This window comes from Homo sapiens, chromosome 18, assembly GCF_000001405.40.
Source record: "Homo sapiens chromosome 18, GRCh38.p14 Primary Assembly".
NCBI classification, from domain to species: Eukaryota; Metazoa; Chordata; class Mammalia; order Primates; family Hominidae; genus Homo; species Homo sapiens.
This window is the reverse complement of record NC_000018.10, coordinates 37121861-37148457: the sequence shown is the minus strand read 5'-3', so window position 1 is coordinate 37148457 and position 26597 is coordinate 37121861. Positions and strand designations below refer to the sequence as shown.

Here is a 26597-nt window from a genome sequence, read left to right as displayed (position 1 = left end):
CAAAGATAACATGTATGCATATGTTCACTGAGGCACTATTCGCAATAGCAAAGACATGGAATCAACCCAAATGCCCATCAATGATAGACTGGATAAAGAAAATGTGGTACATATACACCATGGAATACTATGCAGTCATAAAAAGGAACAAGATCATGTCCTTTCAGGGACACAGATGGAGCTGGAAGCCATTATCCTCAGCAAAATAATGCAGGAACAGAAAGCCAAATACCGCATGTTCTCACTTATAAGTGGGAGCTGAACAATGAGAACACATGGACACAGGGAGGGAAACAACACACCGTGGGGCCTGTTGGGAGGTGTGGTGGGGGGAGGGAGAGCATTAGGAAAAATAGCTAATACATGCTGGGCTTAATGTCTATGCGATGGGTTGATAGGTGCAGCAAACCACCATGGCACACATTTACCTATGTGACAAACTTGCACATCTACCCTAGAACTTAAAAATAAAAATAAAAATATAAAGAAAAAAATGCCCTACAAGTTTGTAGCCTAGGAGCAATAGGCTACACTATATAGCCTAGGTCTATAATAGGCTAGGTTTGTGTATGTATACTCTATGATGTCTGCACAATAATTATTAAGACATTTCTTAGAACATATACCTATCACTAACTGACACATAACTATATAGAAATGCTACAAATTGGGCAATACTACGAGAAATTTTAAGTTCTGACATAGAATGGAGGGATATCTTAATGTCCTAGACTTCCGCTAAGAATACTAGAAAGCCCACATACGAGAAGAAGGCTTATCATAAACTTCTCTAACAAAGACCAAAATCAAGCTTCAGTGAAATGTACAAAGAAGGAGTTTGGAGAGTGAGTCCTACCAATTTAGAGGGGCTTGGAAAACACCCCAGGCTTTCCAGAGATCTGCCCTCACAAAGCATAAAACCAAACCTATCCAAGTTCAAAGGTGACTAACTGGTAGCTACATTGCAGATGTGGGCAAAAACCAACACTCTTCAGAAAATGATAATAAAATCCCTATCTATAATGTTTCATACATAATATTCAGGACAAAATAAAAAATTACCAGACGTGAAAAGAAACAAAATGTTAACCACAGTCAAGGGAAAAAAAAATCAATCAATTAAAATCAACCAAAAGATGGCCCACATGTTGAACTTGGCAGGTAAGAACTTTATTTAAATTCACGATTATAAATATGTTGCTGGCCACTGTCTTTGTCTGTTTTGTGTTGCTATAAAGGAATGCCTGAGACTCATTAATTCTTAAAGTAAAAAGGTTTATTTGGCCCACAATTCTGATGGCTGGACAGTTTAAGATTGGATATGTGCACCTGGTGAGTGCCTCAGTCTGTTTCCATTAATGGCAGAAGGCAAAGGGGAGCTGTACTGTGCAGATAGTACATGGTGAGAGGTGGGAAGGAGAGGGGTGAGATGTCAGCTCTTCTGAACAACCAGCTTTCATGGGAGCTAACAGAGTAAGAACTCACTCACTCCTGAGGGAGTTAATCTACTCATTAAGGTTCTAATCCCATGACACAAACACCTTCCATTAGGTCCCATCTCCAAAACTGGGGATCAGATTTCAACATGAGATTTGGAGTATTAAGATCTAATGTATATGACAATAATGTCACAAAGAATGGGGAAGTAAATATAGGTTAGCAATAAAAAAGGCCTTACATTCTACGTAAAGTTGCACAGCGTTAACACTATGTAGACTGTAGTAAGTTAGGGACACATATTGTAATCTCTACAGAAATCACCAAAGAAAATGCAACGCCACATAGCTAATAAGATAATAGAGGAATTATCCTGAAGGAGCTAAAAACAGAACTACCATTTGACCCAGCAACCCCATTATTGTGTATACACCCAGAGGAATATAAATCATTCTACCATAAAGACACATGCATGCCAATGTTCACTGCAGCACTATGCAAAATAGCAAACACATGGAATCAACCTAAATGCCCATCAATGAATTTAAAAAATGTGGTACATATATACCACAGAATACTATGCAGCAATAAAAAGAAGAAGATCATGTCTTTTGTGGGAACATGGATGGAGCTGGAGGCCATTATCCTTAGCAACCTAATGCAGGAACAGAAAACCAAATACTGCATGCTCTCACTTATAAGTGGGAGCTAAATGATGAGAACACATGGACACAAAGAGGGGAACAATAGACACTGAGGCCTACTTGAGGGTGCAGGACGGGAGGAGGTAGAGGAGAAGAAAAAATAAATATTGGGTACTAGGCTGAGTACCTGGGTGACAAAATAATCTGTAAAACAAACCCCCATGATACAAGTTTCTATATAACAAACCTGCACATGTATCCCTGAATGTACAAGTTTAAAAACCGAAAAAAAAAGTATTATCCTCCCATTTCCCCAAAAAAAGGAGCAGAAAAGGAGAAACAGCAATGAATAAACAAAAAAAGATAAACTAATAAATTGGGAGCGGGGGAAGCAAAATGGTAGACCTAAGTTCAACAGTATCAATAATTAAGTTAAATTTAAATGGATTAAGCACTCAAATGGAATAGATTGTCAGACTAGAGAAAAATGCAGAACAAAATCACACGTTGTTCACAAGAGTTAACACTTTAAAAATAAAATAATAAATAGGTTAACATAAAAGGATGAAAAGAGATAGGCCCTGAAAACAGTACACATGAAAGGCTGGAATGATTATATAATATCAAATACATTAAATATTAAGCAAGAGTGTTACCAGAGATAAAGAGAAATATTTCATCATGATAAAAGGGGCAAATAATCAGGTAGACATAATAATCATAAACACATATGCATCTAGAACAATGCTTCAAAATACATGTCATAAAACTGATAAATCTGAAGGAAAAAGTAGAGAAATTAAAATCATATTTGGATATTTTAACATTTCTTTTTTATCAGTTGATAGTACCAAAAAATAAACCCCCTGAATTCAGCAGGCTAAAGAAGAAGTGAACAATACTATTGATCAATTTGATCGAAGTGACATGTACAGAACACTACACTCAACAGCAGACTATACATTTTTATAAGTACACATGGAATACTGACCAAGACAGATCACACGTTGTGTTATAAAATAAAGTTCAATACATTTCTAAAGAATAAAAACTTACAGAATATGTTATCTGACCACACTGGAGTTAAACTAAAAATAAAAAAAATCTAGAAAAATCTCTCTAGTATTTGGAAATTATTTAACATACTTTTTTTTTTCTTTCTTTATTTTTGTGAGACTGATTCTCACCCTGTTGCCCAGGTAGGAATGCAGTGGTGCGATCATGGCTCACTGCAACCTCCACTTCCGCTGAGCAGCTAGGGCTATAGGCATGTACCATCATGCCTGGCTACTTTTTGTATTTTTTGTAGAGATGGGTTTTCACCACGTTGCCCAGACTGGTCTCAAACTCCTGGGCTCAAGCCATCCACCCACCTCAGCCTTTGAAAATGTTGAGATTACAGGCATGAGCCACCAAAACCGGCCTATTAAACACACTTCTAAATAACCCATAGGTAAAGAAAAATCACAGGATAAGTTAGTAAATATTTTTTAAGGAATGATAAAAAATATAACATATTAAAATTTGAGGGATAAAGAGGCAGTACTGGCTGGGTATGGTGGATCACGCCTGTAATCCCCACACTTTGGGATGTGGAGACAGGAGGATAACTTCAAACCAGGGGTTCAAGACCAGTCTGGGCAACATGGCGAAACCCCAACTCTACAAAAAAATACAAAAATTAGCTGGGTGTGGTGGTGTTTGCCTGTAGTCCCAGCTACTCAGGAGGCTGAGGTGGAAGGACCACCTGAGTCAGGCGAGGTAGAGATCCAAGATTGTACCACTGAACTCCATTCTGGGTGACAGACTTAGACCCTGTCTCAACAACAACAAAAGAAGCAGTGCTTAGAGGAAAAATAATTTCAGTGCTGGTATTAGAAAAGAGTTTAAAATCAGTGATGTAATATTCTATCTTATGAAGCAAGAAAAGGAAGAGCAAACTAGATATAAGGTAAGGAGAAGGAAGGAAACAGTAAAGAGTAGAAATCCATAAAATAGACAAATAAAAACACAAAAGAAACATAAAATTGGCCTCTTGAAAAGATTAATACAAGTGGTAAACCCCTCTACCAAGACAAACTAAGAAAAGGAGAAAACTCAAGTTAGGAATCAGAGATGGTATCACTATAGAGCCTACAGACAGTAAAATGACATTAAGGTTATATCATGAACAACTTTATGCCAATATATTTAATGAAATGAATGCACACATTTTTTAAAAAATATAACTTGTCAAAACTAACTCAAGAAGAAAGAGAAAATATGAGTAGCTTCATATCTGTTACAGAAATTGAATTCATAATCAAAGATGTTCCCACAAAGAAAACTGCCCAGATAGCTTCACTGGTAAATTTTATCACATATAAGAAAGAAATACTGCCAATCCTACATAAACTTTCAGTATATAGAAGAGGAGGAAATACTTTGCAACGTATTTTGTTACTGTGTAATACCTAAGTTATTATAAAATAATATAAAATGGTACCATATCACGGCCAAGTTAGTATTTTTTCAAAATATAACATTGGCTTAACATTCAAAAATAAATTCAGGTAAGTGGTACCACTAAAAGAAAAAAGGAGCAAAACCACATGATTATATCAATAAATGCCGAAAAAGCATTTGATAAAGTTATGATTAAAAACTCCCAGTAAACTAGGAATAAAAGGAAACTTATTTCAATTTTATAGAGGACAGCTACCAAAAACTTGTATTTAACATTTTACTTACTGGTTAATTACTGAATGCCTTTTCCCTAAGATTGGGAACAATATAAGGATGTCTTCTTTAACACTTTCATATTGTTTTGAAAGTCTTAGACAATAAAATAAGCAAAAAAAAAAAAAAAAAAAAAAGAAAGAAAAAAAGGCATAAAGCTTGGAAAGGCATCAATAAAGCTGTTATTATTCACAGGCAATGAGATTGTGAATTTCAATATCCTAAGGAATCTACAAAAACTTAAACACTGGTAGACTACATCCATTTAACAAATTGCAATATATAAACTAAGTCTTCAAAAACCAATAGTCTTTCTATATCATTAAATTCCACAAAAAATGTGTAAGACTGGTAAACTGGAAACTATATGGCATTGCTGAGTTAAATTTAAAAATATCTAAGTAGGCCGGGCATGGTGGCTCACACCTGTAATCCCAGCACTTTGGGAAGCCAGGGCAGGGAGATTACTTGAGGCCAGGAGTTCGAGACCAGCCTGACCAACACGGCAAAATCCCATTGCTACTAAAAATACAAAAATTGGCCAACTGTGGTGGCACATGCCTGTAATCCCAGCTAGTGCAGAGGATGAGGCACGAGAATTGCTTGAGCCTGGGAGGCGGAGGTTGCAGTAAGCCAAGATCATGCCACTTCACTCCAGGCTGGGGGACAGAGCAAGACTCTGCCTTAAAAAACAAAAAAAAAACAAAAAAAAAAAACCAAAGTAAATCCAGAAATAAACTATTTTCATGGACTGGAAAACTCAATATTTTTTAGGGTGTCAGTTCTCCCCAAATTGATTGAATCATAATTCAATTTCCTTAATAGAAACTGATAAACTAGATCTAAAATGTAGAGAACCTAGAACAGAAAAAATAATTTTTAATAAAAAAGTAAGGCTTGAAGGTTTACTATACCTAATTTCAAGATTTACTATAAAGCTCAAGTAACCCAGTGTGTGGCATTGATATAAGAATGGACATACAGATCAATGAAACAGAAGTCCATAAATCTGTGTGTGTGGGGTGTGTGTGTGTGTTTGTGTGTGTGTGTGTGTGTACACATTCAACTGACCTTTGAAAATGTATCAGGCAATTCAGTGAAGAAAAAAGTTTTTTTCAGCAAATAGTGCTGGAGAAACAGAATATCTGTATGGAAAAGAATGGGGCTGGGTGCGGTAGCTCACGCCTGTAATCCCAGCACTTTGGGAGGCTGAGGTGGGTGGATCGATCACCTGAGGTCAGGAGTTCGAGAACAGCCTGGCCGACCTAGTGAAACCCCGTCTCTACTAAAAATACAAAAATTAGCCAGGTGTGGTGGTGTGCGCCTGTAATCCCAGCTACTCAAGAGGCTGAGGCAGGAGAATTGCTTGAACCTAGGAGGCGGAGGATGCAGTAAGCCAAGATCACGCCACTGCAATCCGGCCTGGGTGACGGAGCGAGACTCCATCCCCAAAAAAACAAAAACAAAAAAGAAAAAGAATGAACCTTGAGCCCTACCTCATACTACACACAAAAATGTACTTAATATAGATCATAGACTTAAATGTAAAAGTTAAAACTATATAACTTCTATAGCAAAACACAACAGAATATCTTTCTAACTTTCATCAATATTAAAAATTCCTGCTCTTCAAAAACACCATTAAAGACATAACAAGTTAAGTCACATACTGGGAGAAAATATTCACAATACATCTGATGAAGACTTTGTATCCAAAATATTCAAAGAACTCTATGTTCAATAATTGAGTTGTTTATCCAATTAAAACTGGTTAAAAGATTTGAACAAATATTTCACAAAAAGTTATATGAATGGCCAATAAACATCATCAGGAGAACTGCACACTAAAACCACAATGAGATGCTATTTCATATCCATTAAAATGTTTAAAATTAAAGTCATAATACCAAGCCTTGGCAAGGACATGGAGCAACTGGAATTCTGCTGCTTTGCTGAGAGAATTGTTATATAGCTTTGGAAAACAGTTTGGCAGTTTCATGTACAGTTGAAAATAAACTTACAATATGATACAGTAATTTCACTCCTAGATATTTACTTAAGAGAAAGAAAACATGTCCACTAAAGACATGTACACAAATGTTCACAGCAGCTCAGTTGTCTTTTGTTTTGCCAAAATTTGAAAACAATCCATATGTCCATCAACAGATGCACTGATAAACAAGTTGTAATATACTTATACAATGAATTACTTCTAAGTTATAAAAAAGTAATGGAATACTGAAACACGCAGCAATTTGGCTATATCTCCAAAACATTATGGTGAGTAAAAGGTATCAGACTTACGCATATTGTATGATTCTACTTATATGAAGATTTAGAACACACAATAATATTTCAAGTGATATATAACAGATTATTGGTTGCATGGGCTAGGGATCTTTGGAGGGAAACTCATCAAAAAGTGGTATAAGGTGCTTTGTGGGGTGATGAATACTTTCTGTTGTAATTGGGGTTTGGTGTTAAATACACAAGTATATTCCTTTGTTAAAACACATCAAGCTTGATATGTGCCTTTCACTGAATGCAAGTTATATTTAAGTAAAGTTGATTAACAATAAAGTTGAAGACAAACGCAGAAAAACTTTCACCAAAGAACTTTTAAATATACTGAGATGTATCAAAATTAAGAACTATGTAAATTATTTCCTAAACTAAAAGCACCCAGATAACACACTGAAGAAACATTCACTGACCAGGTACTTTGAACCATTCATTGTGCTAGGCACCATAAAGTCAAAACCTAATTGTCAGATGATCAGTGTTTCTTATCAGTTCACACAGTCTAGATAAAATGCATACAATGAATTATTTGTTAATAGAACAACATCATTCACTGATATGGATGGAATTATTAGAAACAGTTTTCTGTCATTCTTATTTAGCATCTGATGGAGCTGTTAAAAGTGATGAAAAAATAATCAATATCAAGATAGCAGAAGACAGGTTAAATCCCTAGCATTTAGGCTTGCTACACTGTAAGTCACCCTTAAGTTCCTAAGATTTTACTGAACTCTATTTCCATATTTTAATATTATAAAATACTAAATGAAAATTTTTGAGTAGCCCTGATTTAGGGTGGGGAAAGAAAAAACATTCTCAGTTCTTGAAGTTTAATGAAATTCTGGTAATTCAGAGCACCTTGAACTTTTCTTGCTATTTTGCCCAAATCTTATATCGCGATAGTCTGTCTGAGCTTTAATGGCAAATTTTAAATGTCATTCAGGACCAATTGAATACCATATGTATTTGCATTCCTTAAAAAGTAGAAAAACATTAACCTTTTGTTTTATTGAATTAAAATGCCATGGAAATGCTGTTGTAGTCTTGGGAGACTGAAATACTTTTACAAAGAAGAATAGCTGTCATTTATTAACACAAAGAACAATTACTTGATAGGATGCCTTCTGACAAAGAGCAGATTGGTATTCTCATCATAGAAAAGGCATTATAAAAAAAAAATCTAGCCTAGACCTCTGAGACTTGAATAATTTAAAGCTGCATTTGGTGCAATTTGAATTTTTCTTTAGGGAGGCAAAGTTAAATACCTTTAATTTGTTCTAATTATTTCAAATTTGCAAGTTAATTATGGCTGATCATTAAATAACAAAAAGGACTATCATCTCCATAGAGTTTTACCTCCTACCCTCTGCATTACTTAAGCTAGGTTTTAGTATGCATGAATTAACTTTCTAAATAATCACACAGTTTGACTAAATGGCTCAGTAAAATGAGCTCTGATCCTCCGAATAAGCATTAATGGACATTAGAAATGCTACTGGGACTCATGTTACTTACATTATAAGTATTTTTAATGGGGCCTTATTTACTAATCTTTATGTACTGTTCAAGTTAGAACACCATATAGATACATTATTCTGCTTTACTGGAGGAAAAGTCTCATCTTTGACATAATAAAAACAAATGTCCATTTAACCCAACTAAATTCACGTTAAAATTAATGCAGGGATGAGACAATGAGATTTAACTTGTTTTAGTTAGTCGCTCATCTCAATAAATCAATCTAGCAAAAATCGTCTACTTGGTCTGTAAATGAAATATTACAGATCTACTGATGTGCTAAGTGACTCAAGTAGCAAAGGCAGGTCCAATAATAACCATAAACTAGCATTTAAATTCCACCTGCTATTTGAAAGGAAGAATTCATGATTTCTTAGGTTGTACTACTTTCTAGTTACCATTTCTGGGCATACTTGGCTGCCAATGAATACAAGCCAGGTGTCACATACCATACTGCTTAGAACTCGTCTTAAAGATAATTTTCCTAAACATCCCAACTAAATCTTCATATTTCTCTGCAATGGACCTGTGAATGAACAAAAATTTTGAGACCGAAGTGTTTAAAGAACAACATTTTGGCCGGGCACGGTGGCTCATGCCTGTAATCCCAGCACTTTGGGAGGCCGAGGCGGGCAGATCACGAGGTCAGGAGATCAAGACCATCCTGGCTAACAAGGTGAAACCCCGTCTCTACTAAAAATACAAAAAAATAAAAGTTAGCCAGGCATGGTGGCGGGCACCTGTATTTTCAGCTACCAGGGAGGCTGAGGCAGGAGAATGGCGTGAACCCGGGAGGCGGAGCTTGCAGTGAGCCAAGATCGTGCCACTGCACTCCAGCCTGGGCGACACAGCGAGACTTCGTCTCAAAAAAAAAAAAAAAAAAAAAAAAAAGAACAAAATTTCATACATGAAATATTCCATGTACTGTCAAATCTTTCTGCCTTCCAACTCCAAAATTATCAATATAAATTTTATTTCCATATATCCAATAATATTATCTGACAGCCTACTATGTGTCGGTTCTGTATTCAGGCATGGAGGTACACAAAGGAGTAAATGACTACCTTTGGACATTTACAGGTAAAAAGGAAGAAATAGGCAACTAAACAATGAATACATAATGTGGCAGGTGTTACGATGGCAGTATGCAAAGTGCTACATGAAGCAGGTAACAAAAACAGGAAGCTTGCAAGAAGAGGAGAATGGGGGCGGGGTCATGAAGGGAGTGAGGTAAGAAAAGTCAGTAAAAAGGAATAATAATTTACTAGTATTTATTATGCAAAGACACTGGCATGGTTCCTGGCTTCAAAAAATGTGACCATCATAGTGATTAATTTACTTATGCCAAATCCCTTAGATGTACTGGGTAGAATAATGGTCTCTGGACAACAATAGATAGAAAGATGTAACTTAGATGTGTGGTGTAGGAAAGAGAAGAGTCTCACCCCGAGGAGCACTAAGGGCAGCAGAGTGGTTAAGAACATTAGCTTTGGTGTCAGACAGAACTGGCTATTCTATAGCTATTTCTAAGTTCTGATAGATGTAATTTCTTAACCAAGTTACTTAACCTCTCTGGGCCTCATTTCCTCATCTATAAAACAACTTATTAATAGTATGTAACTCACAGAGTTGTTGTGAGGATTAAACGAATTAATATAAGATGTATAAAAGAATGCTCAGCACATATACACTACCTAAATGCTGGCTTCCATTATTATCATTATTTATGTTACTATTAAATGAGAAAACATTTAAAAGGCTTAAGAGCAATATCTAGTACATAGAAGGTGTTCAATAAGTTATTATAGACTAGCTGAAGAGATAGATGTTATAATTGCTGAGAATTATAGAGAAAAAGTAGGTCAGGGGCGGGGTAGAGATAATTGGATTGGATCTGGAGATGTTGAATTTGAGGGATGTGTAAATCACTTGGGCTAGTTATATTATCACACAGTTATAAGGACAGGTTTGGACCTCAGGAGGGAAAAGCTGGGACCTGAGATAAAGATTGTAGAGTTACTGGCATAGAGATATGATCTAGCCATGGGAATGAATTAAGTTTCCCACAGAGAAAGAGGTCTATTGAGAAGGAGAAAGAGGATGAAACTGTCAATATTTAAACAGTATGCAGAGGCAAAGGAAGCAAAATCCAACAGAGAAATAATCTCCAATAGGGAGATAAGCAGAGAAAGAAAGAATAGTGTCAAGAAAACATGGGAACGAGAGAGATATCAGAAAGGTTAGCTATGTCACCTACTATTGAGAAGTCAAGTAAGATGAGGATTAAAAAGTAAAAAGATTTGAGAATTAGCAGGATACTAGTGACCATCGGAGCATGGTTTTAGTTGAGTGATATAGTAGACCAGGAATAAATGGAAGGTAAAGAAACAGAAAATACAGCTTATGCTCTCAAGAAATATGGAAAAAAGAAAAACATGGGGCAGTAGCTCAATAGCAAGGCAAAAATGAGGGTTTTTTTGTTTTGTTTTAAGGAGAAGGATCCTTGAGCAAGCTTATAGGCAGAAGAGAAGGAATGAGAGTGGAGAGGAAGGGTCTGAAGATGTAAGAGGTACTGATGCAAGAGACATTTGGATTTGAGATCTCTGGGGACCTCTAAGCAGTATTCCCTGATGGGCACATTAAAATATGAACTCCAGAGAAAGGCAGGTGCTTCACACAAAGATGTGATCCTGGTATATAATTAGGGATTAGAGCAGATCTCATTTTGAGTGAAGGTACACTTCATACTAGAAGGTGTTACTAGATTTTAATTTGCTCCTTTACTAAAAAAGAAAAAGCTGGAATTTCATTAATTAAAATATCTTCAATTCTGTCCAGAAGCAGCAGCAACTGAGGGAAAGTTAAGAAAAAAGAGGATGATGATGAAGCTATACTAAATAAAACACTCTACTGTAGTGATCACTAAACAGCTAAATTAGCGTTCTATTGCTCAAATCCTACAAAGACCTTGAGAATTTCTGTATGACCTTCAACAAATAAAATAGCTCTTTAAGTCAGTTAATGTCTATTTCAATGTAGAATAAGTCCTTTTAACTTTTTAATGTAAGACAAGGTAAACATATGGGAAGACAAAAATGTCAGTTCAATATAAACTAAGGAAGACAGGTATAAACCAAAGTACGAAGATTGTCCACTACATGATTAGTTTCCTAAGGGCAGAGACCAGGCCTTACTCTACTCTGAATCCCTGGCAATGCCTTCCATGTGGAGGTACACAGACAAGAGGCCCAACATACATATACTGATGAAACAAGTATAATTTGGAGGACATTTATGGGATTAGAACAATAGAACTCTGAGTTAGTTGTTAGCTCTTTCTTGTATTGTGGACCATCCACAGTCATTCTTAGATTTATAATCCATATTTTAATTTCATTCAAGCATGTACTTATGAAGCTTCAAAAATCTGGCACAAGACGAGAAAGACACTATGAGGATATATTTACAGTATGCCAAAAAATATCTTGCAAATGAACCATGAATATAATACAAAATTTTAGAACTGAGAGTAGTCCAATATATGGTACCAAAGTCCTATAAATTTATAGGACCTCATGTTGGTTAGTTAAAGATTGTGGCTGAAATCTCCTTTAAGAAAACCAAGGTCCACTGGTGAATCAACACACACGGCCAGTGCTACTGAAGATACAAGGTAAGGACCAGCCTACGTGTCTATCTCAAAAGCAGTGGTTCTTAAAGTGTGGTACAAGGATGCAAAAAGTATTTTCACTTTTTTCTTACCAAACTTCAAACTATACTATAAGGTTACAGTAACCAAAACAGCATGGTCCTGGTACAAAACAGACACATAGACCAATGGAAAAAATAGAAAACCCAAAGATAAAGCCACACACCTACTGTCATCTGATCTTCAAGAAAATCAACAAAAATGAGTAATAGGGACAGGAGTTCCTGTTCAATAATGATGATTGGGTAACCGGCTACCTTTTACCATATACAAAAATTAACTCAAGACGGATGGAAGAAATATTTAAATGTAAGACCTCAAACTATAAGAATCTTAGAAGAAAACCTAGGAAATATCATTCTGGACATCGGCCTTGGGAAATAATTTACGATTAAGTCCTCAAAAGCAATTGCAACAGAACAAAAAATTGACAAGTGGGAACTAATTAAAGAGCTCCTGCACAGCAAAGGAAACTATCAACAGAGTAAACAGACAACCTACACAACAGAAGAATATATTCACAAACTATACATCTGACAAAGGTCTAATATTCAGAATCTATAGAGAGCTAAAACAGTTAAACAAGCAAAAAACAACCCCATTAAAAAGTGGGCAAAAGACAGGAACTGAAAAGAAGACAGACAGTAGCCAAAAAACATGAAAAAATGCTCAGTATCACTAATCATCAGAGAAATGCAAATCAAAACCGTAATGAGATACCATCTCACACTAGTCAGAATGGCTACTATTTTAAAAGTCAAAACACAACAGTTGCTGGCGAGACTGTAGAGAAAAAGGAACACTTATACACTGCTATTGTGAATGTAAATTAGTTCAGCCACTGTGGAAAGCAGTCTGAAGATTTCTCAAAGAACTTAAAACAGCACTACCGTTCGACCCAGCAATCCCACTATTAGGTGTATATCCCAAAGAAACAAATCATTCTGCCAGAAAGACTCATGCACTCACAGGCTCACTGCAACACTATTCACAATAGCGAAGGCATGGAATCGACCTAGGTGCCCATCAGTGGTATACTGGACAAAGGAAATATGGCAAGTATACACTATGAAATACTACACAGCCATAAAAAAGAATGGAATGATGTCCTTTTTAGCAACATGGATGCCACTGGAGGCCATTATCCTAAGCAAATTAATGCAGGAAAAGAAAACCAAATAGCACATGTTCTCACTTGTAAGTGGGAACTAAACGTTGGGTAGTCTGTACATAAAGAAGGTAATAGACACTGGGAACTACTAGAAGGTGGGAGTGAGGGACAGGGCAAGGGTTGAAAAACTATTGGGTACTATTCTCAGTACCTGGGTGATAGGGTCATTTGTACCCCAAACCTCAGCATCACAAGATATACCCAGGAAACAAACCTACACATGTGCCCCTGAATCTAAAATAAAAGTTGAAATTATTTTAAAAAATTTAAAAAATATTTTCACAATAATATGAAGGTGTTATTTGCCTTTTTCATTCTCATTCTCTCATGAGAATATAGTGAGATTTTCCAGGAGGTACACAACATGTGACATCACAGAAGAGTGAATGCAGAAGAAATGAGAATACAGCTGTCTTCTTTTAAGCCAGAGATTAAAAAGATTTGCAAAAATATAAAACAATGATATTTTTCTAAGTTTTTTTTGTAGGAAATATTGCAATTTTTCATAAAAATATATTGTTTATAATAGGTTTATTACTTTTAAATTAATAAATATTTACATATTACAGTAAACATTAATAGATATGACATTAAACAGATACGACCTATATAAAACTTCTTTGGGGTCCTCAATAACAGTTAAGAATGTAGCCAGGCGCAGTGGCTCACGCCTGTAATCCCAGCACTTTAGGAGGCTGAGGATGGCAGATCATGAGGTCAGGAGTTTGAGACCAGCCTGGACAACATGGTGAAACCTTGTCTCTACTGAAAGTACAAAATTAGCCAGGTGTGGTGGCGCGTGCCTGTAATCCCAGCTACTCGGGAGGCTGAGGCAGGAGAATCGCTTGTATCTGGGAGGCGGAGATTGCAGAGAGCCGAGATCATGCCACTGCACTCCAGCCTGGGCTATGGAGCAAGACTCCATCTCAAAAAAAAAAAAGAATGTAAAGGGGTCCTGAGATCACAATGCTTGAGAATTGCTGCTCTATAGCATGATAAATGATGAGTTCATAGAAGTAATTATCAATATGTTCTTTGGAAAATACAATATGGCATCAATATGAAAGATGCCAGAGATCAATGGCAAGAAAAACTTGTCATGCGAATGTTTTTAATTTTAAAATTTAGTATACAGAGGCCGGGAGTAATGGCTCACACCTATAATCACAGCACTTTGGGAGGCTGAGGTGGGCCGATCACGAGGTCAGGGATGGAGACCATCCTGGCTAACACGGTGAAACCCTGTCTCTACTAAAAATACAAAAAATTAGCCAGGCATTGTGGCAGGCACCTGTAGTTCCAGCTGCTCAGGAGGCTGAGGCAGGAGAATGGCGTGAACCTGGGAGGCGGAGCTTGCAGTGAGCAGAGATCGGGCCACTGCACTCCAGCCTGGGCGACAGAGCGAGACTCCGTCTCAAAAAAAAAAAAAAAAAATTACTATATAGAAAAGTTGACTTTTGGGGGTGTATATAGTTCTATGAATTTTAACACATGTATAGATTCTTTTAACCATCACAATCAAGATACAACATAATTCCATCACCCTAAAAAACTCTACTATTCCAGTGCAGTCACAACTTCCCCTCCCTGACCCTAACACCTACAGCCACTATTTTCTCCATTGGTAGTTTTTTTTTTTTTTTCTTATTGCCCAGGCTGGAGTACAATGGCGTGACCTCCACTCACTGCAACCTCTGCCTCCCGGGTTCAAGCGATTCTCCTGCCTCAGCCTCCCAAGTAGCTGGGATTACAGGCATGCGCCATCACACCCACCTAATTTTGTATTTGTAGTAGAGATGGTGTTTCACCATGTTGGCCAGGCTGGTTTCGAACTCCTGACCTCATGATCCACCCGCCTCAGCCTCCCAAAGTGCTGGGATTACAGACGTGAGTCATCGCGCCTGGCCACCATTGCTAGTTTTATCTTTTCTGGAATGCCATGGAAATGGAACCAAACAGGATAGAATTTTTGAGACGGCTTATTTTATTCAGCACAATGTCTGTAAGATTCATTTAAGTTGTTGCATGTATCAATATTTCCTTCCTTTTCATTGCTGAGTAGTATTCCATTTCATAAATTTACATAGTTTATTTCACCTTCACCCACTGAAGAACATTTGTATGGTTTCCAACTTGTGGCTACTGCAAATAAAGTTGCTATGAGCATTCAGTTAACTAAAGGCAACTCTTAACATTTCAGTCAAAGGTAAAGTAAGAAATCTTCCAGCCCTTACCACTGATAATAGCAGTTTGAAAAGGAGCCCTATTCCTATATTATCAATAAAAGTCTTGTGATAAACTTTAAAAATACCATCCAAAGTTCCCTAAATCAGACTATGTAATTTACCTTAAGGGAATGCATATTCCCCATTTACTGAAGAAAAGTCAACTTACCTCCCAATATGCTCCTTGATAATTTACCAGGAGTTCCAATTCCAATTGGCCCTTCTCTTCTGCCCATGCAATAGATGGACGTAAACCTCACCTGACCAATGTGCATTACAAAAATAACCCATTCTCTGGCATTTACAGAATAATGTTTTATGTTTTGACTACTAAATAAAGCAACCAGCAAGAGGATTCCTTGTCTCCTTGGAACAAGCAGTACCAAAAATCTCTCTGTAGGGCTTTTGTTATTACACTCGATAACAACAATCAAGCTGATAAAGTAACATGTAGAATCAAAGAAATTTCTATAAAAATTCTAAATAAAGCATGCTACAAGACCTTTTGTTTTCGGATACACAATATGACCATGAGTATATACCCACCATATTCCATCACAGGGGCCTCAAAAATGGCCCTTGGACATAGATAGAAGGCAGCTTTGGGTAAATAAACAGCAATTCTGAAATCTCTCCTTTTTTTTTTGCCATTGGGTCCTATTAATAAAACCATCATCCACTAAAAGTAAATAAGAATATAATAGAAAGCAGGGCAAAAATAAATTAATAGCATTTTAAAGAGATTTTAAGAAAACACTTAAAAGGACACATAATAGAGCAGCCAGCTTTGAGCTGTAAAATCCTGGATTTCTTGTCTTTTGTATGGGCTATGTATGCCCTGGCATTCATTTGACCCCAGAACCCTCCAACAGTATGAAAAGCCTCAGAGTATGAATAAGGATAAAATGAGAGTCTCTAGTTACCCCCGAGTGTGACTAGTTTAAATCAATCATGCTACCTTAATGTTAACAGTTATATATAATTTACATGATAGTCTTTTTTTTCCTCATATAATGTTTGTTGCTACAGGCACTACTGTATAGTTGCCAAATGAACCATAGTTTTAAAATTCTGCAATTTGAAACTGTTATCTGTTGAGCTGTGTTGTGCAAAAAGGCTTCTGTGTCTGTGCAGCAAGTGTATTTCACCAAAAATGCTCACTGTTAGGTGTGATGCTGGGTTGTTTATTGGGTAGACGCAGGGGGTTGCTAAATATGAATATATATAATAATCACTCAGGCATGAAAAAACAAACTATATAAACTGCAGTTTATATAGTTCATTCATTTGGAGATGCAAACCTCTCTTACAGTGTTGAAAGGTGCTACAAACACAGAATCAAAGGATCACAAACTATGGTCCACAAGGTTGACTTCAGATGCACTACTCAGCCATCATTGGCACATACTTGCTCTAGAAAGCGAGGGAAAGTTTGACACTACTTTGAATCTCCAGTGGCCCTAAAGATAGGCAAAACTATTTGCTAAAGATAATGACAAAAACATTACAATAAAATGTTACTGAACATAGTCATATGTTAACAGAACATGTAAGTCTCACAAATTAAATCACACAAGTATAACTCAAGCATAGAAAGGATCTTGTCTAGTTGTTCCCAAACATTATCGGAATCACCCAGGGAGCTTTCTGAAAATACACATTCCCAGGCCCTACCCCTATTGTGATTTAATCTATTATTTTAAAGATTTGACGTGATGAGTAAATGCAATTAGGAATGTACTAAAATTTTATATAATTCATATTATTAATTACCCAATAAAATGATACTGGGGTTATGACAAATAGGACAGGATGGAGCACAAAGCCCTGGAACATATGGCCAAAACCAATCCCCCAAACCCTAAAAGGAAATCTAGAAAAAAATCAGTGTAAGCTTCGTTTGAGTCACAGGGCTCCAGAGATGAAATCTTCTAATTGTATTATGAAAAGACACATACTCTTTTTTTCTTATCCATGGGGCATTTTAAGAGCTCTTGTTCAAATGCCTTTGTGAAATCAGGATTATTTTTTTCTACCATATTTCTCTTATCTCCCAGTTCAGAAACCTTGTAAAAATGAACTAAGACTAGTCTAACATTTCTTTTTTCTTTTTTTTTTGAGACGGAGTCTCACTCTGTCTCCAGGCTGGAGTGCAGTGGAGCAATCTTGGCTCACTGCAACCTCCGCCTCCTGGGTTCAAGCCATTCTCCTGCCTCCGTCTCCTGAGTAGCTGGGATTACAGGTGTGCACCACCATGCCCAGCTAATTTTTGTATTTTTAGTAGAGACAGGGTTTCACCATGTTGGCCAGCATGGTCTTGATCTCTTGATCGCGTGATCTGCCTGCCTCGGCCTCCCAAAGTGCTGGGATTACAGGCGTGAGCCACCGTGCCCGGCAGACTAGGCTAACATTTCTTTTGGTGGTAAATCATTTAAAAAGTAAGTAATATATGTATATGATTAAAAACTTTTAACACTACAGCACAGCATAAATGAAATTAACTTTCCTGCCCTATGCTCAATTTTATTCCCATTTGTTTCCTTGTGAGTTCTTCCTGTGGTTATGCTATATATTATACATAAAACTCACAATGCCATATATTATCCATAAACCTCTATTTCTTAATTAATCAGCTTAGGAGGCTTTCCATTTCTTTATAGGAAAGATGAGTATTTAGCTCAGACCTCTCCCTCCTCTCCTCATATCTCGCTTTACTAATTATATCATTTAAATTCTATTAGTTAACAAGACATACTTCAGTAACATACTGAACCCTTTATTTCTTATTTCATCAACTTTAATTGGTGAAATTCTCTCTTAATTCCACACTAGGTAGGAGGAAGAAATTCGTTCTCCACACTTCCTTCCACCCTTCTTCACAGACTTCACCTCTGGCCTTCTGTCAGCTATAGCATCAACTCTACATTGTTGGTATTCACATTTCCTCTCCATTCTGCATACAATTCTTTCCTGTGTTTGTCTATAGACTAACTCTGAAACTAAAAACCAATAAGTATCATTTGCCATATTATGATTATGTAAATATTTACTATTGAAGAAATTAGGGTGGCTAACTCTGAAAAGAAAATGTAATCTAATCTTCTCAATCTCTTCCACCGGAAGAAAGAAATCACAACCTTAGGGTCAAATAGGCTCTCTATTCCTATACTCCTTCAATTTCTCAGAATCATGCCACAAATTAAGTTGTTTCATACCTGTACACTTTTGTTTAAATTTTGTTTTCATTGGACTTACTAAATATTAATTAAAAAAGCAAAATGAAAATAACTATTGACTTTTTGCTTATCATGTATATTGCTACGCTGTTTGTTTTGCAGTAGGTTGCATTCCATAAAATGGACACACTGTAATTTATGCAGTCACTCTCCTAATGATGGAAATTCAGGTTCTTTTCACGTGGTTTTTTTTTCCACTGGAAATAATGCTGCCATAAAAATACTTATCCACATATTTTGTTTTGATAATTTTACTTCCAAGGAAAAAATTATAGGAATGGAATTGAGGTCAATAAGCAGATTCATCTTTAGGGTTTTTTTTAATATTGAGGTATGGTATAATAAATCAATAAAATTTATCCTTTTAAAATACAAAGTTCAATGAGTTTGACAAATGTATACAGTTATGTTATCAGCATCATAATCAAGGTACAAAATACTTCCATCACCTCAAAAGTGCCCTTAGGTCCCTTTGCAGTCATTTCCCTTACTCCATCCCCAGCTCCTAGCAAGCACTGATCTGTTTTCTGTCTGCATAGTTTTGCTTTTTCTAGAATTGCCAATAAATGGATCATACCATATATGGTCTTTTTTGTTGTCTTTTTTTTCCCATTTAGCATAATGCTTCTGAGGTTCACCCATGTTGTTACACGTATTACGTGTTTGTTCCTTTTTGATACAAGGAGTATTCTATTGTATGGATGAACCAGTCTATTAGTCTATTATACATTTGCCAGTTGATGGACATTTGGCTTGTTTCCAATTTTTGGCTATTAGAAACAAAACTGCTATGAATATTCATGTACAGGTCTTTGTGTCCTTGTTTTTCCATTTGTCTTGGGGAAATACCTAGGAGAGAGATTGTTGGGTAGTAGGTGAGTATGTTTTATTTGATTAAAACTTCCCAAACTATTTTAAAAAGTGGCTGTATCATTTTGCATTCTCATCAGCAACATATGAGAGTTCCCATTGCTCCACATCCTCATCAGCATGTGGTGTGGTATGATTAGTGATTTTTGTTTGTTTGAGACAGGATCTTGCTCTGTCACCGAGGCTGGAGTGCAGTGGCATGATCTCGGCTCATTGCAACCTACGCCTCCCAGGTTCAAGGGTTTTCGTGCCTCAGCTTCCCGAGAACCTGGGATTACAGGTGTGCACCACCACACCCAGCTAATCTTTTTGGTATTTTTTTAGTAAAATCAGGGTTTCTCCATGTTAGCCAGGCTGGTCTTAAACTCCTGGCCTCAAGTGATCCACCAACCTTGGCCTCCCAAAGTGCTGGAATTACAGGCATGAGTCACCATGCCCAGCCTAAGTTGTGATTTTTGTGTTACAAAAAATCTTTGCATAGCCCAAGGTCACAAAGATTTTTAAAAATATTTTCCTCAACTATATTGTTATAGCTTTTAGCTTACATATTTAAGTGTGAGTTAAATATATAACTGTGAGTTAATTTTTGTATATAATGTCAGGTAAGACTCAACTTTTTTTTTTCAATCCACTGATCCAATTGCTTCAGCATCATTTCTTTCCTCCATGGAATTATTGTGGCACTTTTGTTTTAAAAAATATCAATTGAACATATATATGTGGGCCTATTTCTGAAACTCCCATTCTGCTCTACTGATCTATATGTTTACTGTTATTTCAGTACTGAACTTTATTACTGCAGCTTTATAGCAAGTCTTGAAATCATGTAGTGTGTTCTTTATAAAAAAATTATTTTGGGTGTTCTAAAGTCCTTTGTATTTCCACATAAATTTTACCGTAAGCTTTAAATTTCTGTAAAAAGCTTGCCAGGAGTTTGATTTGGATTGCATTGAATCCACATATCAATTTGTTAGAGAATTGACATCTTAATGACACTGGGTTTCTGATTCATGAACCCGGCATTGCTCTCCATTTATTCAGGGGTTCTTTTTAAATTTTTATTTTATATTATTTTTGTTTTTTGTAGAGATAGGGTCCCCCTACATTGCCCAGGTTGGTCTTGAACTCCTGGGCTCAAGGGATCTTCCTGCCTCCATCTCCCAAAGTGATGGGATTATAGGTGTCAACCACTGCACCTGGCCATGGGTTTCCTTCACCTCAGCACTGATTTTTAATTTTCAGTGTACAGTTCTTGTACAGATGTTATTAGATTTATCTGTATGTATTTTATATTCTTTAATGGTATTATGAACGTGTGTGTTTTTTAAAAAACTGCAACTTCTAATTGCCCTTTGCCAGGACAGAGAGATAAAATTCATTTTTGTATATTCTTGTATTCAAGTTTGTTTAGCTGAACCTGGTTAAACTCACTTAGTAGTTCTAGTAACTTTTTTGCAGATTCCTTAGAATTTTCTAAGTAGATAATAACATCATATGTGAACAAAGTTCTACTTCCTTTCCAGTAATGTAGCCTTTTATTTCTTTTTCTTGCCTTTCCTTTTAGTGCAATGCCGAATAGAAGTCAATAGAGTGAACATCTTTGCCTTGTTTCCAGTCTTAGTAGGGTACGGTGAAGTCTTTTACCACAAAATATTTTAACTGCAGGTTTTTTACAGATCAGTCTTACCAAGTTGAGGAAGTTCCCTTCTATTACTAGTATATTGAGAGATTTTTTTTATCATGAATGGATGTCAACTTTTTGCATTTGTTGAAACAAATCAGGTGGTTTTTCTCTTCTAGCCTGATGATATAGTAAATCATATGTATGATTTTCAAATGGTAAGTTAACTTTGTATTCTTGGATAAAACCAACTTGGTCATAAAATATTTGTATACAATGCTGGATTCAACTTACTAATATTTAGTTGAGGATTTTTGTGTCTATTTTCATGAGAGATATTGGTATGTAGTGTTCTTTTCTTATAATCTTTGATTTTGGTATCAAAGTAATGGTGGCCTCAAAATGAGTCTGAAAGTATTCCTTCTTCCTTCATTTTTTTGCAAGAATTTTTATTATATGTTCCTTCAATGTTTGGTGGAATTCGACAGTAACGCCATCTGGGACCTAAGCCTTCTAGGACCTAAGTTTTCTTTGGGGGAAGGTTTTTTAAAACTATGAATTCAACTTCATAGATATAATCTGATCAGATATTCACATTATCTATTTTTTCCTTAGCTACTTTTGGTAGTTTTTGTCTTTCAAGAAAATTTTCTATTTCATCTAAGTTATTGAATTTATTGGCATAAAGTTGTTTATATGACAGGTTGAGTATCACTTATGTGAAATGTTTAGGACTAGAAGTGTTTGAGTTCTTTTGGATTTTGGAATATTTGCATACATATGAGATATTTTGGGATGGGATCCAAATAAAATTCATTTATGGTTCACATATACCTTATATACAAAGCCTAAAGGTAATTTTATACAATCATTTTAATAAGTTTGCACACGAAACAAAATTTGTGCACACTGAACCATCAGAAAACAAAGGCATCAGCCACTTATGAAGACAATCTGTGGTTAACATCACTATCATTTCTGACTCTGAAATTTATATGCTACTGATAAGCAATCATTTTTTGCACACATTCACGCACAAGTACTTAACAGTAAAAAAAATATGACATACCATTAACACAGGGAAAAATTAATATGTTCAGGGTAACTAAGCAGCACAGTAGCAACATCAGAATATCTGTACCAACTGTTCAACAATAGCAACTGCAAGCTGTGTGTGCCTGTGTTTTGACTGCAACCTGTCACATGAGGTCAGATGTAAAATTCTCTGCTTGATCTCATATCAGAGCTCACAAAGTTTCAAATTTTGGACCACTCTGCATTTCAGATTAGGGATGACCAATCTGTATTTCCTTATTAACTCTGTAATATCTGTAGAAATGCCTCTGCTTTCGCTCTTGAGATTGGTAATCTGTTGTCATTTCCCTCTTTTCTTGATTGTTCTGAGTATAGGTTTGCCAATTTTATTGACACCTTTAAAGAACTAGCTTTGGGTTTCATTGATTTCTCTATTATTATTCTGTTTTCTAATTCATTGATTTCTGCTTCTAACTTTATTATTTACTTCTGCTCATTTTGTGTATAATTTGCTGTTTTCTGGTTTTTTTAAGGTAGAATTTCAGATCACCAATTTAAAACATTTAAACTTTCTAATATAAGCATTAAATGCTATAAGATTCCCTCTAAACACTGTTTTAGCTGCACCACACAAGGTTGTTTGTTTGTTTTTTGAGACGGGGTCTTACTCTGTCACCCAGGCTGGAGTGCAATGGTGCAATCATGGCTCACTGCAGCCTTGACTTCCCAGGTTCAGCTGATCCTCCTACCTCAACCTCCTGAGCAACTGGGACTACAGGCATGCACCACCATGCCTGGCTAATTTTTTGTAGAAACAGCATTTCACCATGTTGCCCAGGCTGGTCTCAAACTCCTGGACTCATGCAATTCACTCACCACGGCCTCCCATAATGCTGGGATTACAGGCATGAGCCACCACGTCCAGCCCACAAGTTTTTATATGTTCTGTTTTCATCTTCATTAAGTCATATGTTTTCCATTTTAACTGTGGAGCCAGCTTGCTTTACAAAATATATTTTAACAGATAAACATTTTGCCATTTTTCCTGCCACTGTTTAATTTTTGTCAATATGAAGAATGAGAAGTGACACCTCACTGCTATTTTCCTTGATGCATAAGAAGCCAGTCATGTAAGAATGTAGGGATAGATCATTCCAGGCAGAGGAAACTACAAGCACGAGGGGACTGGAATGATAATAAGCTTAGCATATTAGAGGAACTGAAGGACCACTGTGGTTAGAACATTCTGAGCCAGAATGGCAGTTGAATAAAATGAGGTCAGGGAGGTATGCAAAAGTCACAACATGTATGGACTTGTAAACTAGGATAGAGTTCAGATTTCTATTTCAAGTATGTGAAATAGAGAAGTATGTAAAACATACTGAAACAGAAATAATCCTTGAAATTGACATGACCGTGATGCACATTTTAAAATGACCATTCTGACTGCTTTGTATAGGATGGATTGTAGGAGTTACAAGTAGAAACAGGAAAATTGGTCAACAGGAAACCACAATAATCTGGGTGGGAATGGCGGTAGCTTGGATTAGAATGGAAGTCATGATAACGGAGGGATGACGGAAACTAGATAATTTTGGAAATAGAGTCAACAGGACTTACTATAAACTGTATGGTAAGAGGTGAGGGAAGGAGGGAATTAAGTCAAGGTGGTTCATAAAATTATTTGCTTGAGCAACCAGGTACAAATCTATTTGAAATGAGTGAGAAGAAAGGTATAAGTTTGGATTTTCCAAACATCTCTTTTTATTTTTTATTTTTGTCCACCAGTATTCTGCATTTTGTCTTAGCTTAGCATTTTGCAACCTTAGTATTTAGTCAACGAGGCATTCTGGAGAAGAAACTGGTAACCATATGTGTTCAATATGCCTTCTCAGATCATAAATCATTTTAGAACTAACCATCATGTTTGGAATTAATGTCTACTGCACTGGCATATAGTATACAGAATCTCTCTCTTAAATTTATACATCTCTAGCCTCCTGGCACCTATATGGTTTTCCACAAATCTTCAAGGTTACTAATAAAGGATTAGCAAGCTTATTAACAGGAACCTTTACTATCCTGACATGTATGTAAACTAAGCTGCAAGAATTGAATTTATATATCTTATTTACATATGTGTGTGTGTATTTTAAATAAACACCTCACCTATCCTTTGCTTTAGTTTTCTTGTACAAACGGTTGTTCCACTCTTTCTAGACCAAAGATCATTTTCTTGAAAGAAAAGGAAAAATTGAGTACTGTTTCAGTCTCTTTGATGCCTAACCTCAGTTTGTTATTAATCCTTTAAACCAAATCACATACTCTATTTTAGCCACCCATGGCATATTTTAAAACCCTAAACTTATTTTGGGATTTATTAAATTTAATGTATTCTTACTGTTCTTTGAAACTCTCTTATGTCCATCCTTATGCACATCTTATTTGTATACCACCATCTAAAAATTTTCTCTTAATTTCTCAATAAATTGTATTTGCATGATTAGAATTATATTTTTGATAGTTTGTCAGCTCTATTGACTTTTCTCCCTTTGAGTTGCAGGTCAGAAAATCAAGCTTCTCTTTTTTTTCACTTTTTAAAAAGTTTTGGTTACATATCTAATTATGATCAATTTTTAATTTGTTTGTCATAACTAGGCTGAACATGACAACTCTACTGGTTGCCCTCATCTCCTTTTAGAATGTGAAATGCTAACAACAGGCAGTCAAGAATTCTTAAGAGTAGAATAAGACATTCAGTTTTTCTTCTCTCTTTGATTTTGCTGAAATGCTCTCTAGTATACTAACAAGTGAGAATGCTTTCTCTCTTCAGTCTCACAGCCATCCTGTGAAGTTTTCTTTACAAAGGCTGGGGAAACCAAGGGTTAGCAAGGTTAAATATTTGCTCAAGTTCTACAACTAGCTATTGGCAGAGCTGAGAGGTAATCCCAGGTCTCATTCCAGAGCTTGAGCTATTAAATCATTGCACTGCACTGTCTTATAACATACATTACTACTTCAATACCCTAACAGGTCTGCTTTCTAAAGAGGCAGTACAAATTCATTATTTTTAAAATCAGCTAGAAACACAAAATCATCAACCGTGTTTTCTGTGTCTTCCTGGTCATCACTCTTTCCTTCACTTCTCAAGCTCTTCACAGAAGTTGTTTCAAACCTTCAACCTCACTATCCATCAGCCCTATATGTTCCTCACCTCCCGTACTATAGTAAGCAGACCATCTCACCTCCTGATTCACAGAGAAAATTGAGAATACCACATGGAAATACCCTTACTACCTGCTGGCAAACCCATCAACTGCAACATAGTTGTCCTTTCCACATTCCCTCCTATTACAGTAGTAAAATCTTCCTTCTCTTGACTGACGATAATTTTTCCACCTGTGATTCAAATTCTAGGTCCTATATCACTGGGATCTCCTTTGATCAATAATACCCTCTCCTGTATTTTTAACATCTTCATATTGCTTCCTTGTCATCTACATTTAAATATCTTTGTGACTTACTTGACTTAACAAAACCCACCTTTGACTCTAAGTCTGCATGCAGCTACAACTCCCTGCTTCTTCTCCCCTTCATGGTTAAGTCCTGTTGTCATTACTACTTCCTCACCTCCCACTCAATCCAAAGCCCATTATCTTCCATTCTCACTCTCTCTGTTACTAAGTTCAATGGACACGTTTTCATCCTTATCACATAACCCTTTAAGCACGACACAATAATTATTACTCTCTTCTTGAAATTCTTTTTCCCTTTGACTTTTATGACACAATTTTCTCTTGGTTTTCTACCAGTCTTTCTTACTGCTTGTATTAGTCTCCATTGCAGACTCCTCTTTCACAGCTAATTCTTGAAATATTGCTATTATTTGGGATTCTATTTTAGCTTCATGTCATGTCATCTAAATGCACTCAAATTCTAAATGTTTAAAAACATCATGCCAACCAAATACTATATACTATGTCTGTAAGTCTGATTCAGCCTTGAGGCTACCAGTTTCAGTTTTCTGTAATAATCTCTCTTGGAGACTATTTGGGTATCCTTGGTTTCAATGGCCATTCATATGTTTTACACACACACATACACATTCTCTG

The 26597-nt window shown here is 36.2% G+C and overlaps 1 protein-coding gene across 24 annotated transcripts in view, besides 1 other annotated feature; it reads right to left on the bottom strand.

Moving 5' to 3' along the window:
• KIAA1328 overlaps positions 1–26597 on the bottom strand; it is a 403046-nt gene that overhangs the window by 83715 nt on the left and 292734 nt on the right. The window lies entirely within an intron of this gene.
• Positions 7701–9035: an enhancer, noted in NCBI's record as "VISTA enhancer hs590". NCBI's record gives its function as "enhancer in: forebrain[5/6]" and the evidence as "EXISTENCE:transgenic organism evidence [ECO:0001131][PMID:17130149]".